Source organism: Homo sapiens, chromosome 3 (genome assembly GCF_000001405.40).
Source record: "Homo sapiens chromosome 3, GRCh38.p14 Primary Assembly".
In the NCBI taxonomy this organism is placed as follows: domain Eukaryota; kingdom Metazoa; phylum Chordata; class Mammalia; order Primates; family Hominidae; genus Homo; species Homo sapiens.
The window spans coordinates 33,411,887-33,426,801 of NC_000003.12; the positions used below are offsets into that span (position 1 = coordinate 33,411,887).

The window sequence follows — 14,915 nt, forward strand, 5'->3', positions numbered from 1 at the left end:
ATTTTTTTTAAGAATATGATAAGGCTGAGCGTGGTGGCTCACGTAATCCCAGCACTTTGGGAGGCCAAGGCAGGTGGATAACCCGAGGTCAGGAGTTTGAGACCAGCCTGGCGAACATGGTGAAACCCCGTCTCTACTAAAAATACAAAAATTAGCCAGACGCAGTGGCGCGTGCCTGTAGTCCCAGCTACTCAAAAGGCTGAGGCACAAGAATCACTTGAACCCAGGAGGCGGAGGTTGCAGTGAGCCAAGATCGCGCCACTGCACTCCAGCCTGGGCAACAGAGCGAAACTCCGTCTCAAAAAAAAAAAAAAAAAAAAGATAGATGGTTTACAATTAAACGGTTTCAAAATCATAAAATTCCAGGTTCACATTAGTTTAGCACCAAAAAGCTACTTGACGTTTTAACTATAAAACAACTCTCTCGGTTCTTTATAATACGAGGATGGGAAAAAAATAAAAAGAAAATAATGTATATACATACATACATATATATGTATGTGTGTGCGTATGTATATATAGAAAACAACTCTCAAGACACAAGATCCTAGAGGGGCATGGTGGCGCGCACCTGCAATCCTAGCTACTTGGGAGGCTAAGGCAGGAAAATCACTTGAAGACGGGAGGTAGAGGTTGCAGTGAGCCAAGACTGTGCCACTGCACTTATCCTGGGCGAGAGAGCAAGGCTCTGTCTCAAAAAAAAAAAAAAAAGACACAAAATCCACAAACACCAAAACTTTCCCCACACAAGTAATTCATGATGCCAACACAACACATTACTGGCTATAGCTAAACAATACCCTCATCTCCATGGTCTTTTGATCACTGCCTGTACCTAAATCAAGAAGTCTGTCTCCTGGGCGATTCCACTTCCATCCTTCAAGTTGCTGATGCTCTGTGTATTGTAGCCGTCTGTCATGGAATACAACCCTTATGATGCTCTGTGGAATAAGTGCGGAAAATGAGTACTTTTAAACTGCTCCAGCTAAAATGCAGGACCATTTCTACTTCTTATGTGTTAACCTGTAGCAGTAGAACACATACAACTAGATTCTGTTTTAAACATTCTGTAAGTGAACTCTTTTGCCCTTGGATACCTGGATTACGGTACAATTATTTGGTGCAAAGAATTATAACTCAAAAACTAAAATTATAAATAAAATGGTAACTTAGGTATTGATTTTATAAAATGATTTGTTATTGCAATTCAAAATTAAGGTTCTTCCCACTAAAATTAATGAGCAAGAATTACATTCCTATAAAGAAAATACCAGATGCACACAGGAGTTATTAAAAATGAAAAGATGGAGACAGAGAAACCCAGAAACAATGGTAAAACTTTGTTAATTTAAAATAACAGTTAACAATTGAGTCTTCTGGCTGGGTGCGGTGGCTCACACCTGTAATCCCAGCACTTTGGGAGGCTGAGGTGGGAGGATCACGAGGTCAGGGAGATTGGGACCATCCTGGCTAACACGGTGAAACCCCATCTCTACAAAAAATACAAAAAATTAGCCAGGCATGGTGGTGGGCGCCTGTAGTACCAGCTACTTGGGAGGCTGAGGCAGAAGAATGGTGTGAACCCGGGAGGCAGAGCTTGCAGTGAGCCAAGTTCGCACCACTGCACTCCAGCCTAGGTGACAGAGCGAGACTCCATCACAAAAAAAAAAAAAAAAAAACTTTGAGTTTTGAAAAAAAAGAACTGGCATAAAACAAAAATCCGAAACACTGCCCGCTGCCTTGAAAAAGTGAACTTAGGCCAGGTGCGGTGGGGCTCATGCCTGTAATCCCAGCAGCCAATTAAAAGCAATTTTTTTCTTTGAGATAAAGAGTACCATGTGGGAGACATTTATAGGGCTCAGTGGCTGCTTTATTCCCATCTTCCTTACCTGCACCCACACCTGCAGGGCCTGTCCAAGCAATTACCCAGCACCCACTTCACACCATCACCTGACCAGAGCAAAGCTCTCATAGTGATGGTGCATAGGCTAGTGGTGGCCCCTAAGACACCAATGCCAGTGGTTCACATCTGCTAGCCAGCTCGTCTCCAGAAAAAAGTACAGCACAGAAAATATCACAGTTCTAATTGTTCCATACTCAGTAAGAACCATACTAACTACACATATTCAGATGAAAACAGTATTAGAATACAGGTATTAGACTTCAGAGCTTTACTAAGCCCCATTCTAGAAGGTTGGACTAAAATACTAAAGATAAAAGGAGGACCAAAGTTAGGAAATTACAAGATATATAAGAAAAATTCTAGCATTATATAGCTTTTAGAATTTGTCTAGCAGGTTTTCCAGTTTCTACCAGAAACCCCTACCCAAAAAAGAACGGAAAGGAAAAAAGAAAGGAATGAAAAGGAAGGGAGGAAGGGAAAGAAAAAGAAAGAGAGGGAGGAGGGCGGGAGAGAGGAAAGGAACTTCTTATATGAAACAGGGAGAAAATCTCGTTATCTGAAAGTTCTCCCTAAAAGGAGATTGACTGCATTTTCAGAACTAGCAACATGTGATGGGGCCCTAACAATAAGACTAAAAGAAAAAAATAGGACAAAAAAAGACGAAAACAGAACAATCAGAGAAAGCACATTGCTAAATATGTTCAGCACATTCAAGAAGTTCCAAAGCACCTTCGCAAACCTATCACTTGATCCCCAAGGTTCCCCCACAAATTTAAGTAGTATAGTCAAAGATCCTAGGGCCAGGAAATAAAACTCTAGAAATTTGAAGCATATTTTAGGGATTCTCTAGCTAAAAAAAGGATGTAATTTCCAAGAAACTCATCCTGCAGTCTTTGGTAGTAGCAGACAGTAGCTCTTAATCCCAGACAAGCTTACAGAATATAACTGCATGCCTGGCACATCCACCAAAAATCACACAGCTGGCTTATCAAACAGAAGATGAAGCCAATGTAAAATGCTTTAAAAATGAACCCTTTTCAATCAGTGGGCTAAATATTTAGATACTGATGCCTTCAGAATAAGTAACCTTGTCTAGGTGGAATATACTAGTGTTATGTCAGCAAAACATTCACTGTGCATTTATAAGTTAATGGTTTTGCTACTAACAGTAGTTCATTACGTCATAATGAGGTGTCATTTTTCCCTTAATTTATTTGCTTGCATTAATTTTGTATATTAAATGTTTTTACATGTTTTAATTTGGAAGTAAATACAAGGAAGTTGAACTTAAAGCAGTCATACAACTTTACCCTGCCATCCCAAGTTAATCTGACAGGTATTTTAACCAGCTTGCCAAAATATTTTAAACATTAGGTATCACCTATCAGACTAATTATTTCTAAATCCTACCACCTATTCAGGGAACTGCCCTGGAAAGCCAGCTTGTCTCCACTGATAAATGACAAAGACAATTGCTTCAGAATTGATTTTCTTCAATGCCTTGATGGACACTGAATTTTGGCATTTGGTCTGGATGTCAAAGTTTGTTATATTTTCCTCAGAACACTGAATGGTCATGAATGAAGAACTGAGTTAAAATTACAAATTAGTAAATTCTATAATCCGGCATACACAAAAAAAGCACAAGGGGAATAGATGAAACAAGTCTGGCAAATTGTGGAGAATGTTGAAGTTGGCATGAGAACTTATGAGAACTCATGATATATACCAGATATATTTATTATATACCACCATATGATGGATATATGTGGATTCATTGTACCATTCTCTTTACTTCTGGGTATGTTCAAATTTTACCATAATAAAAAGTTAAAAAAATTGTTCTAACATTTTTGGATCCAGTTTTAAAGACCTCAGTATAGGGCCCATCAAATCCTACTAAATTTTATTATGGAGTTCACAATTAAAACAACTTTCCAACCCTTTTACACTGATACATTAACAAAAAAAAAAACACAGAACAAAGAAAGACAAAAACAGAACAATCAGAGAAAGCACATTGCTGAATATGTTCTGCACATTCAAGAAGTTCCAAAGCACCTTTGGTAACCCATCATTTGATCCCTAAGTAACCTTCCAGGTGCCCTCCAGGTACTGGGCAGCTGGCTTTCCCATACATGCCAAATTAGTTAACACACCAAATTTAGATTGCCTGAATCCAATTCCCACCACAAGGCTGCCCTTCCCATGCTTACCCACTAAAAAGGCAGATCCACAGAGGGCAGGTCTTTCCAATAGAATGCCCCTCCACACTGAGGGCCCAGCAGCACCTGGGCCCTGACATGCCACTCTGTGGGAAGATGGAAGGATCAAGAGAACTTGTCTCTTGCTAACACTTAGTTAGCCACATGAGGTTTTACCTTTCCCCAATTAAGATTCTTTCATTAACCCTGCCCTGTAATGCTATGGAATTTATAACTAGCCATGATGTATGATGGATACAGGCTAGGAGGGGCCAGGGGGCAGGGATGGTTCTGAGGATACATCCTAAAAGAACAGGTTAGCTGGAAAACAGCTATGCCTCCTATACCTAGGATGACTGACTTCTTCATTCAGATACATGAGTAGGGTGAACAGAGATTTCTATTTTTTAAATGAAACTTTACAAGGTAAAGGATTTTTTAAAGTTTTATGCCAACATTGACATTCTTCCCCATATTATCTTTTACTTTTAGAGAGGCTTATAGGTTTTTGTTGTGGTGATGAGTTTTTTACCCCATAACTACAACTAACTTTTCTATTGCTCCTTGATTTCCAAGGGTCTTTCAAAATTACTCTACCCAATAACTGCTATAATTCCCATTTTACAGGTGAATAAACAAAATATAGCTCATAAAGTTAAAAAGTTGTAATACAACAATTATTGAAGTGAAATTAATTTTTTTTTAAACAAAAACTCATTCAATCACAGCAATATCCATTGGGAATTAAAATGGACTGTCCTTACCTTTACTAATTTTCCATTGATCTCAGGCATATCACCCATTTTCCGATTATCCAGCATCCGAATTTCATATGACTGACCTATTTAAAGAAATTGTGTATAAAAAACAATCCTTATAAAGAACATCACTTTGCTTAACATAATTCAAAATGCATGTTTCTCAGAACATACATTACACAATGATAGTTTGTTAATTTGCTACGGAAGCAAATTCAGGTTGATCCTTCTCTTCCCTGAAAATCACACCAACCTTCTGTTCTAACATTATTACAGGAGACAAGAGTTTCTCTGTCAATTTATCTTCATCTGCCACTCTCTTACACTAAACTTTTATTATGCTTGCATTACCTAAGACTAATTTTTGTAACAGCTTTTCTGAGATATAGTTTACATACCATAAAATTCACATTTTTAAAAAGTGTGTAAATCATTGGTTTTCAGTATAGTCAGAGTTGTGCAACCATCACCACTACCAGTTTTAGAACACTCGCATCATCCTAAGAAGAAACCTCTATTAGTCACTTCCCATCCCTCCCCCACCCCCCACCTGGCCAACTGCTAGCGATCACCAATCCACTTTCTGCCTCTACGATTTGCCCACTCTGGATACTTTCATAAACAGAATCATACAATATGTGGGTATTTGTGCCTTGCTTTTTAAACTTAGCATAATGTTTTCAAGGTTCACCCATATGTAGTATATATCAGTCCTTTTTATTGCCAAATAATATTCATTCCTTTTTATTGCCTAATACTATTCCACTGTGTAAAGACTAAACCAAATTTTGTTTATCCATTCATCAGCTGATGGATATTTGGGTTGTTTCCACTTTTAGTGTTTATTAGAAAACACAGATATTCACACATCAATCTAGATAATTAGGAAAATGCTGCTGTAAAAAAATTAATAATGTACTCCAAATCCACAAAAAATGATTTCTGGATTATCTGTTATTAAATAATAAAAATGACAGTATAATTTGGCATGCAGAAAATCAGTAAAAATTAAAGAATGCTTATAATATCACATGAAGTTGAGAATCTTTATAACTACCAACACCTTGTCCATACTCCCAGGGGGCTTACAGAAAAATATACAAAGGATTCTAGATTATAGGGTCAAAATTCAACAAGGGGTTATCAAAATACAACTACATCACTCCAAGGCTGGTGAAGGAAAACAGCATATATATAGTCTGTTACAAAGAAAAGTTGCTTACATTCATTCAACAGACAGAGAAACACTAAAAAACACCTGTATGGGAAGAGACATTTTTAAAAAGTTAAACTAAGACACAGATTGGAAGAAGATATATGCACTATATTTAACAATGGATCTATATTCTGAAAACAGAAATAATTTTCAAAATGAAGAATATAAAGTTTTGAAAAATACACCATTTATGTTTAAAATTACACTCAACCTCACAAGAATTTAGGAAATAAAAATCAACAAAAGGTTTATGCTGATTATCAGATCAATAAGAAACATTAATTTTTATTTATTTATTTATTTTGACAGGGAGCTTCGTTCTGTCGCCCAGGCTGGAATGCAGTGGCGCAATCTCGGCTCACTGCAACCTCCACCTCCCAGGTTCAAGCAATTCTCCCTGCCTTGGACTCCTGAGTACCTGGGATTACAGGTGCCCGCCACCACGCCCAGCTAATTTTTGTATTATTTTTTAGTAGAGACAGGGTTTCGCCATGTTGGCCAGGCAAGTCTTGAACTCCTGACCTCGGGTGATTCACCCGCCTCAGCCTCCCAAAATGCTGGGATTACAGGCGTGAGCCACCGCACCCGGCCATAAGAAGTATTTAATTAGGCTGCGCGCAGTGGCTCACGCTTGTAATCCCAGCACTTTGGGAGCCCGAGGCGGGCAGATCACCTGAGGTTGGGAGTTCGAGACCAGCCTGACCAACATGGAGAAACCTCATCTCTACTAAAAATACAAAAATTAGCTGGGCGTGGTGGTGCATGCCTGTAATCCCAGCTACTTGGGAAGCTGAGGCAGAAGAATCGCTTGAACCTGGGAGGCGGAGGTTGCAGTAAGCTGAGATTGCACCGCTGCACTACAGCCCAGGCAACAAGAACGAAACTCTGTCTCCAAAAAAAAAAAAAAAAAAAAAAAATTGCTAACAAATGTCCAGTATCCCTAGAAGAAAAAAATGAGCAAATGAAATGGACATGTGGGTTCACAAAAGGAAATGCCAACAGTTCTTAAACATATTGAAAGACAACTTCCATTAGAGAAATGCAAATTAAAACCACACTGAAATCATTTTTCACCTATCAGAACAGTATAAATCCCTCAGTTTTCTGCTGTATTAGATGTAAAGTGTAACAGAAAGAAGAGTTGAGGATTACTCCTGATTTTTGATCAAGGAATTGAAGAAGAGTCACCATTTCCTGACCTCAAAGACAGCCAGGAGCTGACTTGAGGCAGAAAAATCAAGAGTTGGCCAAGTGGAGTGGCTCACACCTGTAATCCTAGCACTTTGGGAGGTCAGGGCAGGCAGATTACTTGAGGTCAGGAGTTCAAGACCAGCCTGACCAACATGGTGAAACCCCGTCTCTACTAAAAATACAAAATTAGGCTGGGCGCAGTGGCTCACAATTGTAATCCTAGCACTTTGGGAGGCTGAGGTGGGCGGATCACGAGGTCAGGAGTTTGAGACCAGCCTGGCCAACACAGTGAAACCCCGTCTCTACTAAAAATGCAAAAACTAGCTGGGCGTGGTGGCAGGCACCTGTAATGCCAGCTACTCCAGAGGCTGAGGCAGGAGAATCACTTGAACCTGTGAGGCGGAGGTTGCGGTGAGCCGAGATCGCGCCATTGCACTCCAGCCTGGGCAACAAGAGGGAGACTCCATCTCAAAAAAAAAAAAAAAACCAGAAGAAAAGAAAAGACTCTATAACACTTGCTACGCTTAAAGTGGTTTCCCTATTGGAAACTATTATATTCTTCAATGGTAATATCCATTGAGAGAACAACCAGACTTTTAGAAATTTCCTAATTTGTCCCCAATCCATAATTTTTAATACCACGGCTTCCTGAAACAACAGTCTAGGTTGTAACTGAAATATAAAGAAGGATCCAGTATTAATGAAATATAAAGTTAATATAGTCCAACAGTAATATTCTGTGAGATGCTAGTCCTATTTTTAGCTTTATTTTCTCAATTTACTTTTCATGTTTTATTTTTTGTTCCATTTTTGGCTCAGAAATGCAAAAATTCTGCCAGAGTTGAAAAATATAACTGTTGTGATTCATGTCCCCACCCACCTTTGAAGACACATACTCTAGTCTAGCTTCATCAAATGGGACTCCAGGGCAACATGGAGCCCAAGATGTGACAGCCCCCACTTTGCTAAATTCAATGCTTTAGAAACCTTATTTCTAAAGTCCTATTCCTATCATGAAACTTTAGTAACATGAACTGAAACTAACCAGGAGGAAATCTACTGTTGTGAAAAATGAAACTAAGCAAAAAGAACTTTCTGAAATATTTAACGGAATTCTTAATCCAATAAACATGCTGTTTCTAGGGACTTATAGCTGTACTTTATTAACATTCTTTTTTCTTTTTTGAGACAGAGTCTCACTCTATTGCCCAGGCTGGAGTACAGTGGTGCAATCTGGGCTCACTGCAACCTCCCTCTCCCAAATTCAAGCAATTCTCATGCCTCAGCCTCCCAAGTAGCTGGAATGACAGGTGTGTGCCACCATACTGGCTTTTTTTTTTTTTTTTTTGGAGACAGAGTCTCACACTGCCATCAGGCTGGAGTGCAGTGGCACAATCTTGGCTCACTGCAACCTCCGCCTCCTGGGTTCAAACGGTTCTCCTGCCTCAGCCTCCTGAGTAGCTGGGACTACAGGCACATGCCAGTACGCCCAGCTAATTTTTGTATTTTTAGTGGAGACAGGGTTTCACCATGTTGGCTAGGATGATCTCGATCTCTCGACCTCGTGATCCACCCGCCTCTGCCTCCCAAAGTGCTGGGTTTACAGGCGTGAGCCACCATGCCCAGCCTAATTTTTCTATTTTTAGTAGAGATGGGGTTTCACCATGTTGGCCAGGCTGTTATCGAACTCCCAACCTCAGATGATCCACCCTCTTCGGCCTCCCAAAAATGCTGGGATTACAGGTGGGTTAATTAACATTCTTAGCAGCGTATTCTCCAAGTAGAATTTGGTCTCCAAATGAAAATGTATTTGGGGACTAACAAGGAGAAATTCTTTTCATTTGAAGAGTTAGGGGCTGATCCAGCAGTAGCAAGTCAGCAAGGGGGTAAGATCAGAAGTCTCACTCATATTTATCAGGTGTGGAAGCATCACAGGCTCAGCCCCCAGCTGTTAAGACAAAAGGCAGCCTATTCCAGCCAGATCTCTGCCCAAAGGGAAAGCCAGCTATGTGTACTCCACCCTCTGGTGGCTCCATTTTGGGACTACAGTTTTTACTCCAGAGTTAAAGTCAGGGACTTAACTCCTCTTCTTATTCAGGCATAACCAGGGAAACACAAACACAGGTTGCTTTTTTTCTTGCAGGGGGCGGGGGCGGGGGACTGGAGTGCAGTGGTGCAATCTTGGCTCACTGCAACCTCCACCTCCCAGGTTCAAGTGATTCTCCTGCCTCAGCCTCCCGAGTAGCTGGGACTACAGGCGTGCGCCACCATGCTCAGCTACTTTTGTATTTTCAGTAGAGATGGTTTCACCACATTGGCCAGGCTGGTCTCGAACTCTTAACCTCACGTGATCTGCCCACCTCAGCCTCCCAAAGTGCTGGGATTACAGGCATGCGCCACCGCACCCAGCCTTAAACACAAATAAGTTTTTAAACTCAGTCCCTCTGAGGTTCAAAAAGAACTCAAAAAATGACACTAAGACATCAATACAACTAGGAAAACTTGCTCCAATTTCTACTGACAAAGTGAAGACTATACCAAATTTGATTTTTATTTTCTTTACAGCATTACATAGTGGCAAATATTCTTCATCAAGAATGACCATTTCGGCTGGGAGTGGTGGTTCACACCTGTAATCCCAGCACTTTGAGAGGCCAAGGTGGGTGGATCACTTGAAGCCAGGAGTTCGAGCCTGACCAACATGGTAAAACCCCATCCCTACTAAGAATACAAAAATTAGCCACACATGGTGGCATGTGCCCATAGTCCTAGGTACTCCAGAGGCTGAGGCAGGAGAATCCCTTGAGCCTGGGTGGCAGAGGTTGCAGTGAGCAAGACTGCATCGTTGCACTCCAGCCTAAGAGACAGAGTGAGACCCTGTCTCAAAAAATAAATAAATAATAAAATTAAAAAGAAAAAGAAAAGCAAGTCTAGTGAGCTGAAGATACTTTGCTAGTCTGGATCTTTGTTTGTCTTATTACTTTAAATTAGCAAGCTTCTATTATTCAGTAGACAAAGAGGTAGGGTGAAAGATACTCAGAAATGTCTCAGTCTGGTCCAATCCTTGTCCAAATCTAGAAAAAGCTATGAATCCTCTCATTAGAAAAATATACCTTTAAGGACTACATCCCAGCTACTCAGAAGGCCTGAGGCAGGAGGACTGCTTGAGCCCAGGAGTACAAAAACAGCCTGGGCAACATAGCAAGATCCTGTCTCTAAAAACAAACAAATAAAAGGAAAAGAAAAGAAGGGAGGAGGGAGGAAAGAAGAAAAAAAGGCCAGGTTCAGTGGTTCACGCCTATAATCCCAGCACTTTGGGAGGCCAAGGCAGGAAGATCGTTTGAGCCCAGGAGTCGGAGATTAGCGTGGGCAATGAATAGTGAGATCCGCCATCTCTACGAAAATTTTTTTTAAAAATTTGCCAGGCATGGTGTCCTGTGCCTGTAGTCCCAGCTACTCAGGAGGCTAGGGTGGGTGGATCACTTTAGCCTGGGAGGTCAAGGCTGCAATAAGTCATGATTGTACCACTACACTCCAGTCTGGGTGACAGAGCAAGACCAAAAAGAGAGGGAGAAAGAAGGGAGAGGGGGAGGGAGAGGAGGAGGGGGGGAGAAAGGGGGAGAAGAGAAAGGGAGCAGAAAAAGAAAAGGAAGGGAAGGAAGAAAATATACATTTATAGAAAATTAAAAACTTGTTTAAGGATTCATGGAAAATTTTGGGTTTAAAACTTTTTGTCAAGATGATAAATGCTAAGATACAGTCTGTGCAAAGCACAACACACTATATTATATATGATACTCATATAGGTATTATTTTGAAAGTTATAATTTCTTTTAAAAGGGTACATAAAAGTACAGTTCCTTTAAAATTACTCAAAAAAAAGTTTGTTTTTTTTTTTTTTGAGACAGAGTCTCGCTCTGTCACCCAGGCTGGAGTGCAGTGGTGTGATCTTGGCTCACTGCAACCTCTGCCTCGGGTTCAAGTGATTCTCCTGCCTTGGCCTCCTGAGTAGCTGGGACTACAGGTGTGTGCCACCATGCCTGGCTAATTTTTGTATTTCTAGTAGAGACGGGGTTTCACCATGTTGGCCAGGATGCTCTTGATCTCCTGACCTCATGGATCCGCCCACCTTGGCCTCCCAAAGTGCTAGGATTACAGGCGTGAGCCATCGTGCCCGGCCCATATTTTTTAAAATTACTAAAATGTATGTTGTTTTAAACATGTCTACATATACAGTTCAGCTTTCTACCTTTTTTCTGAAAAGACTAGAAAAAATCAAGAAATAAATGAACACAATTCCAGAACCAAGAAAATACTCAACATTAATACTGCAGTAAGCAGAATAAAGGACAAGAAAATCACCTGCCCTTACATTGATTATATTCAAGTGAGGTATCACCTGAGAAAGAGGCACAAGGGAGCCTGCTGGAGTACTGGAAAAGATGGAAATAGGTAGTAGTTTCAAGGGAATATATATGTAAAAATTCATTAAGATTTGTGCACATTACTGTAATACTTCAAAAAAATTTTGTTAAAACCTAAGCTTTCCAAATGGACACTGAGCAAGGTAATTAACTGCTCTAAGTTTAATCTATAAATGAATAAATCTCTCCTAGAGTTACTGTGAGAACTGAATAAGGTTAACACATGTATTTAGTACAATGCTAGATGCACAGTATCAATTAATGTCAGTCTACTATATCACTACTACAGATGGTGGATTATGACTTTTATCGATATGAAATATCTTTATCTGGTTTAAGAACAACCATGATAAATTATGGGCATTCCCCCAGGCCAATAAATGCACATCCTACATGTTGCTTTAAACAGGGTGTATATGTGTACTAATTCATTCCATGGTATGTATGTAACAGAACTTAATCGACTATTCCACAAGTAAGGAAAATTCAGGTTATTTCCTTTTTTATCTTTAGAAATAAAGTTACAGTGAATATCCTTGCCCCTACATTGTTTCTTCTGTTATTTTTATGTCTACAACAGATTACCAAATAAGTTATTAAGGTTCTTTCAAATATAAAACTTAACTCTCAAATAAGTGATTGCCTATCCAAACACTAAATATAAAAACAAACAGGGAATTGTCACAAGTGCCAGAGACAGGACTACCTGAAGGTAAAACCTTATAGATTCTAAACTTATATATCAAATGAAAAGGTAGAAATAAGTTATTCTTCCACATTTCAGATTAATCACATGTAAAAGTCTAAAATCTATTGCTCTTTCCAAAACTTCGAGTAAAAATTCTATTTAATGACAGAAAAATAAACACTATATACTCAAGTGAACAGATGTATAATTCTAATTTTTTGAAAGAAAATGTATATACATTCAAGAAACAGACCAAAAATATTAGTCAATTTTTGGCATTATCCCTTCACATATTTCCCAGTTTTTCTACAATGAGCATATAACAGTAAAAATGTTCAAAAAATTGTTTAAAATCAGAATTCAACCTGCTTTCAGTATATGTATCCAACAAATTAATTCCTGCATTCAAAATACTTTTGTTTACAGGGGTAAGTCACATCAGCCTGTGCCCAAACTGCAAAGGGCAAACTCTCCTCTTTCCAAAGATAAACTCGGCCGGGTGCAATGGCTCACGCCTGTAATCCCAGCACTTTGGGATGCCGAGGCAGGCGGATCACTTAAGGTCAGGAGTCTGAGACTAGCCTGGCCAACATGGTGAAACCCTGTCTACTAAAATTACACAAAATTAGCTGGGTGTGATGGTGTGTGCCTGTAATCCCAGCTACTTGGGAGGCTGAGGCACGAGAATTGCTTTAACCTGGGGGGCGGAGGTTGCAGTGTGCCGAGATTGCGCCACTGCACTCCAGCCTGGGCGATAGAGCAAAACTCAGTCTCAAAAAAAAAAAGGTAAACTACCCCCACATCTCTATTTTCCCTCCTTCCCCACCAACCCTTTCATATCACTGAAATGTAACACTCTGACATAAACTACAAACAAGATATAGGGGATAAAATTTGATGTTTATTTAGCCACAGACTCCATCCTGGTGCAGCTTAAGTCTATTTTCAGCACAGAACTGCTTCATGTTCAAAATCCAGGTTCCTTGCTAGCTGGACTTCTGATTCATTCTCAAGTTCCATATTGAAATCACTGTCCCTAAAAATAACTGACTTCCTTTCCTACTTGCTAGTCCTTTGGATTATGTCTTAAAAATCCTGTAATAAATCTTCCTCCTCAGACCCTCTTTAATGCAAATCAGTTTACACAAACTGTACTTCAGCTGCTCACAGTAAAATTCCTACAATTTTCATTAAGTTGTAAAATTTAAGAAAAAGAACCTAATTTTTAATTATTACCAATAATCTAGGCTACAATGCCAAAATATTATTTTGTATTTCTGTAAATTCTTACATGTCAAATGTGACATAACCACACTAACCTTGGTTCAAATAAGTAAGCGTTTCATCATGCAGTTTTACTGCTGGTGACGTTGCAGCACACATCACATACTGAAAGGGTGGGTGCTCTGTTTCACCATCCAATGGAAGGCTGGAATCTTCCTGCTTGAAAATGGGCAATGCCAAGACATCACTGAAAAGCAAAAAATCAACACTGACCTTACTTTGGGTTTGAAATATTTGTCTACAGCCATATCATCCTGAATGCACCCAATCTTGTCTGAAATATTTAAAAGCATATAAACATTTAGGGATAGTTTTTTTTTTAAGATCAGAAATTATATGTAGAATAAAAGAACTATGAATGCTATGTGGTTCATCTAAAGGATGGCATTAACAACCCCTATCTCGGGGTGGGAAGTGGGGGAGGGCGGCAGGGCAGCTCTGAATATATATATATATATATATATATATATATATATATATATATAGCACTTTAAAAACTTCTTTTAAAACTTTAAGGTCCAGATTCTTTCTATAAAAAAAAAGCAAGTCAAGAGTACCTAGCTACTTGATTTGAAAGGCAAGAAATAATACTGCTGCCAAAGGTAGGTCACACTTGACACCATAGAATTACAAAGAAGCATCTGATTAAAATGGGGTTTTACAAAAAGTTCCCTGCTGTGCCTTGGCAAGTGTTAAGAACATGAAGCTTCATGCCTAATCTAAAACAATGGCTCCTACTGAGAGGTAAACAGGAGCAGCAGCAGTCGCAGCAGCTGCTATTCTCCCCCTAAGAATAACCTGGGGCACTGATTGGGAGAATGATGAGGGGTCTTCTGGGACACTGTTTTTATTGGATGTTGTTTGGTTTTAACAGCTTTATTGAAATATAATTTACATATCATAAAGTCACCCTTTTAAAGTCTGAAATTCAGTGGTTTTAAGTATATTCACATCATCAGTATCTAATTCTTGAATTCCAAAATATTTTCTCCCCTCAAAAAGAAATCCCATACCCATTAGTAGTCACTCACCATACTATCCCAGACCCACTCAGCCCCTGGCACCCACTGATTTGTTTTCTATCTCTACGGATTTGCTATTTGGGACATTTAAATGGAATCATATGACTATGTGGTCTTTTGTGACTGGCTTCTTTCACTTAGCATGTTTCATGGACCATCCGTGTTCTAACATGTACCAATGCTTCATTCTTTTTAATGGCTCCATTCCATTGTATAGGCATACCG

At 39.5% G+C, this 14,915-nt stretch overlaps 2 protein-coding genes and 1 pseudogene across 10 annotated transcripts in view, besides 1 other annotated feature; 2 read left to right on the top strand and 1 right to left on the bottom strand.

Annotated features, from left to right (window-relative positions):
* FBXL2 (F-box and leucine rich repeat protein 2) overlaps nt 1-10,812 on the top strand; it is a 145,674-nt gene extending 134,862 nt beyond the window's left edge. For both annotated transcript variants that reach the window (NR_146123.2, NR_146132.2), the window contains one exon: nt 9,838-10,812. The gene's annotated coding sequence lies outside the window, so the exon portion shown is untranslated. The remainder of the gene's footprint in view (nt 1-9,837) is intronic.
* Nucleotides 1-14,915, bottom strand: part of UBP1 (upstream binding protein 1) — a 53,064-nt gene that overhangs the window by 23,551 nt on the left and 14,598 nt on the right. For 7 of the 8 annotated variants that reach the window (XR_007095724.1, XM_047448847.1, XM_047448846.1 and 4 more), the window contains 3 exons: nt 13,704-13,855; nt 4,872-4,948; nt 836-941 (listed from right to left, as the gene is read on the bottom strand). Coding sequence is in view for 6 of the 8 variants with exons in the window: in XM_047448847.1 (XP_047304803.1) it covers nt 836-941; nt 4,872-4,948; nt 13,704-13,855 (335 nt within the window). In the remaining 2 variants the exon portion in view is untranslated. Of the gene's footprint in view, nt 1-835; nt 942-4,119; nt 4,478-4,871; nt 4,949-13,703; nt 13,856-14,915 lie in introns of those variants that run through there. The other variant, XM_047448849.1, reaches the window with a different exon arrangement.
* On the top strand, nt 2,264-2,325 carry RNU7-110P (RNA, U7 small nuclear 110 pseudogene; annotated as a pseudogene).
* Nucleotides 14,209-14,766: an enhancer, noted in NCBI's record as "OCT4-NANOG hESC enhancer chr3:33467587-33468144 (GRCh37/hg19 assembly coordinates)". NCBI's record gives its function as "activates a minimal SCP1, AML or CMV promoter by ChIP-STARR-seq in naive H9 embryonic stem cells {active_cell/tissue: H9 hESC(naive)}" and the evidence as "EXISTENCE:reporter gene assay evidence [ECO:0000049][PMID:30033119]".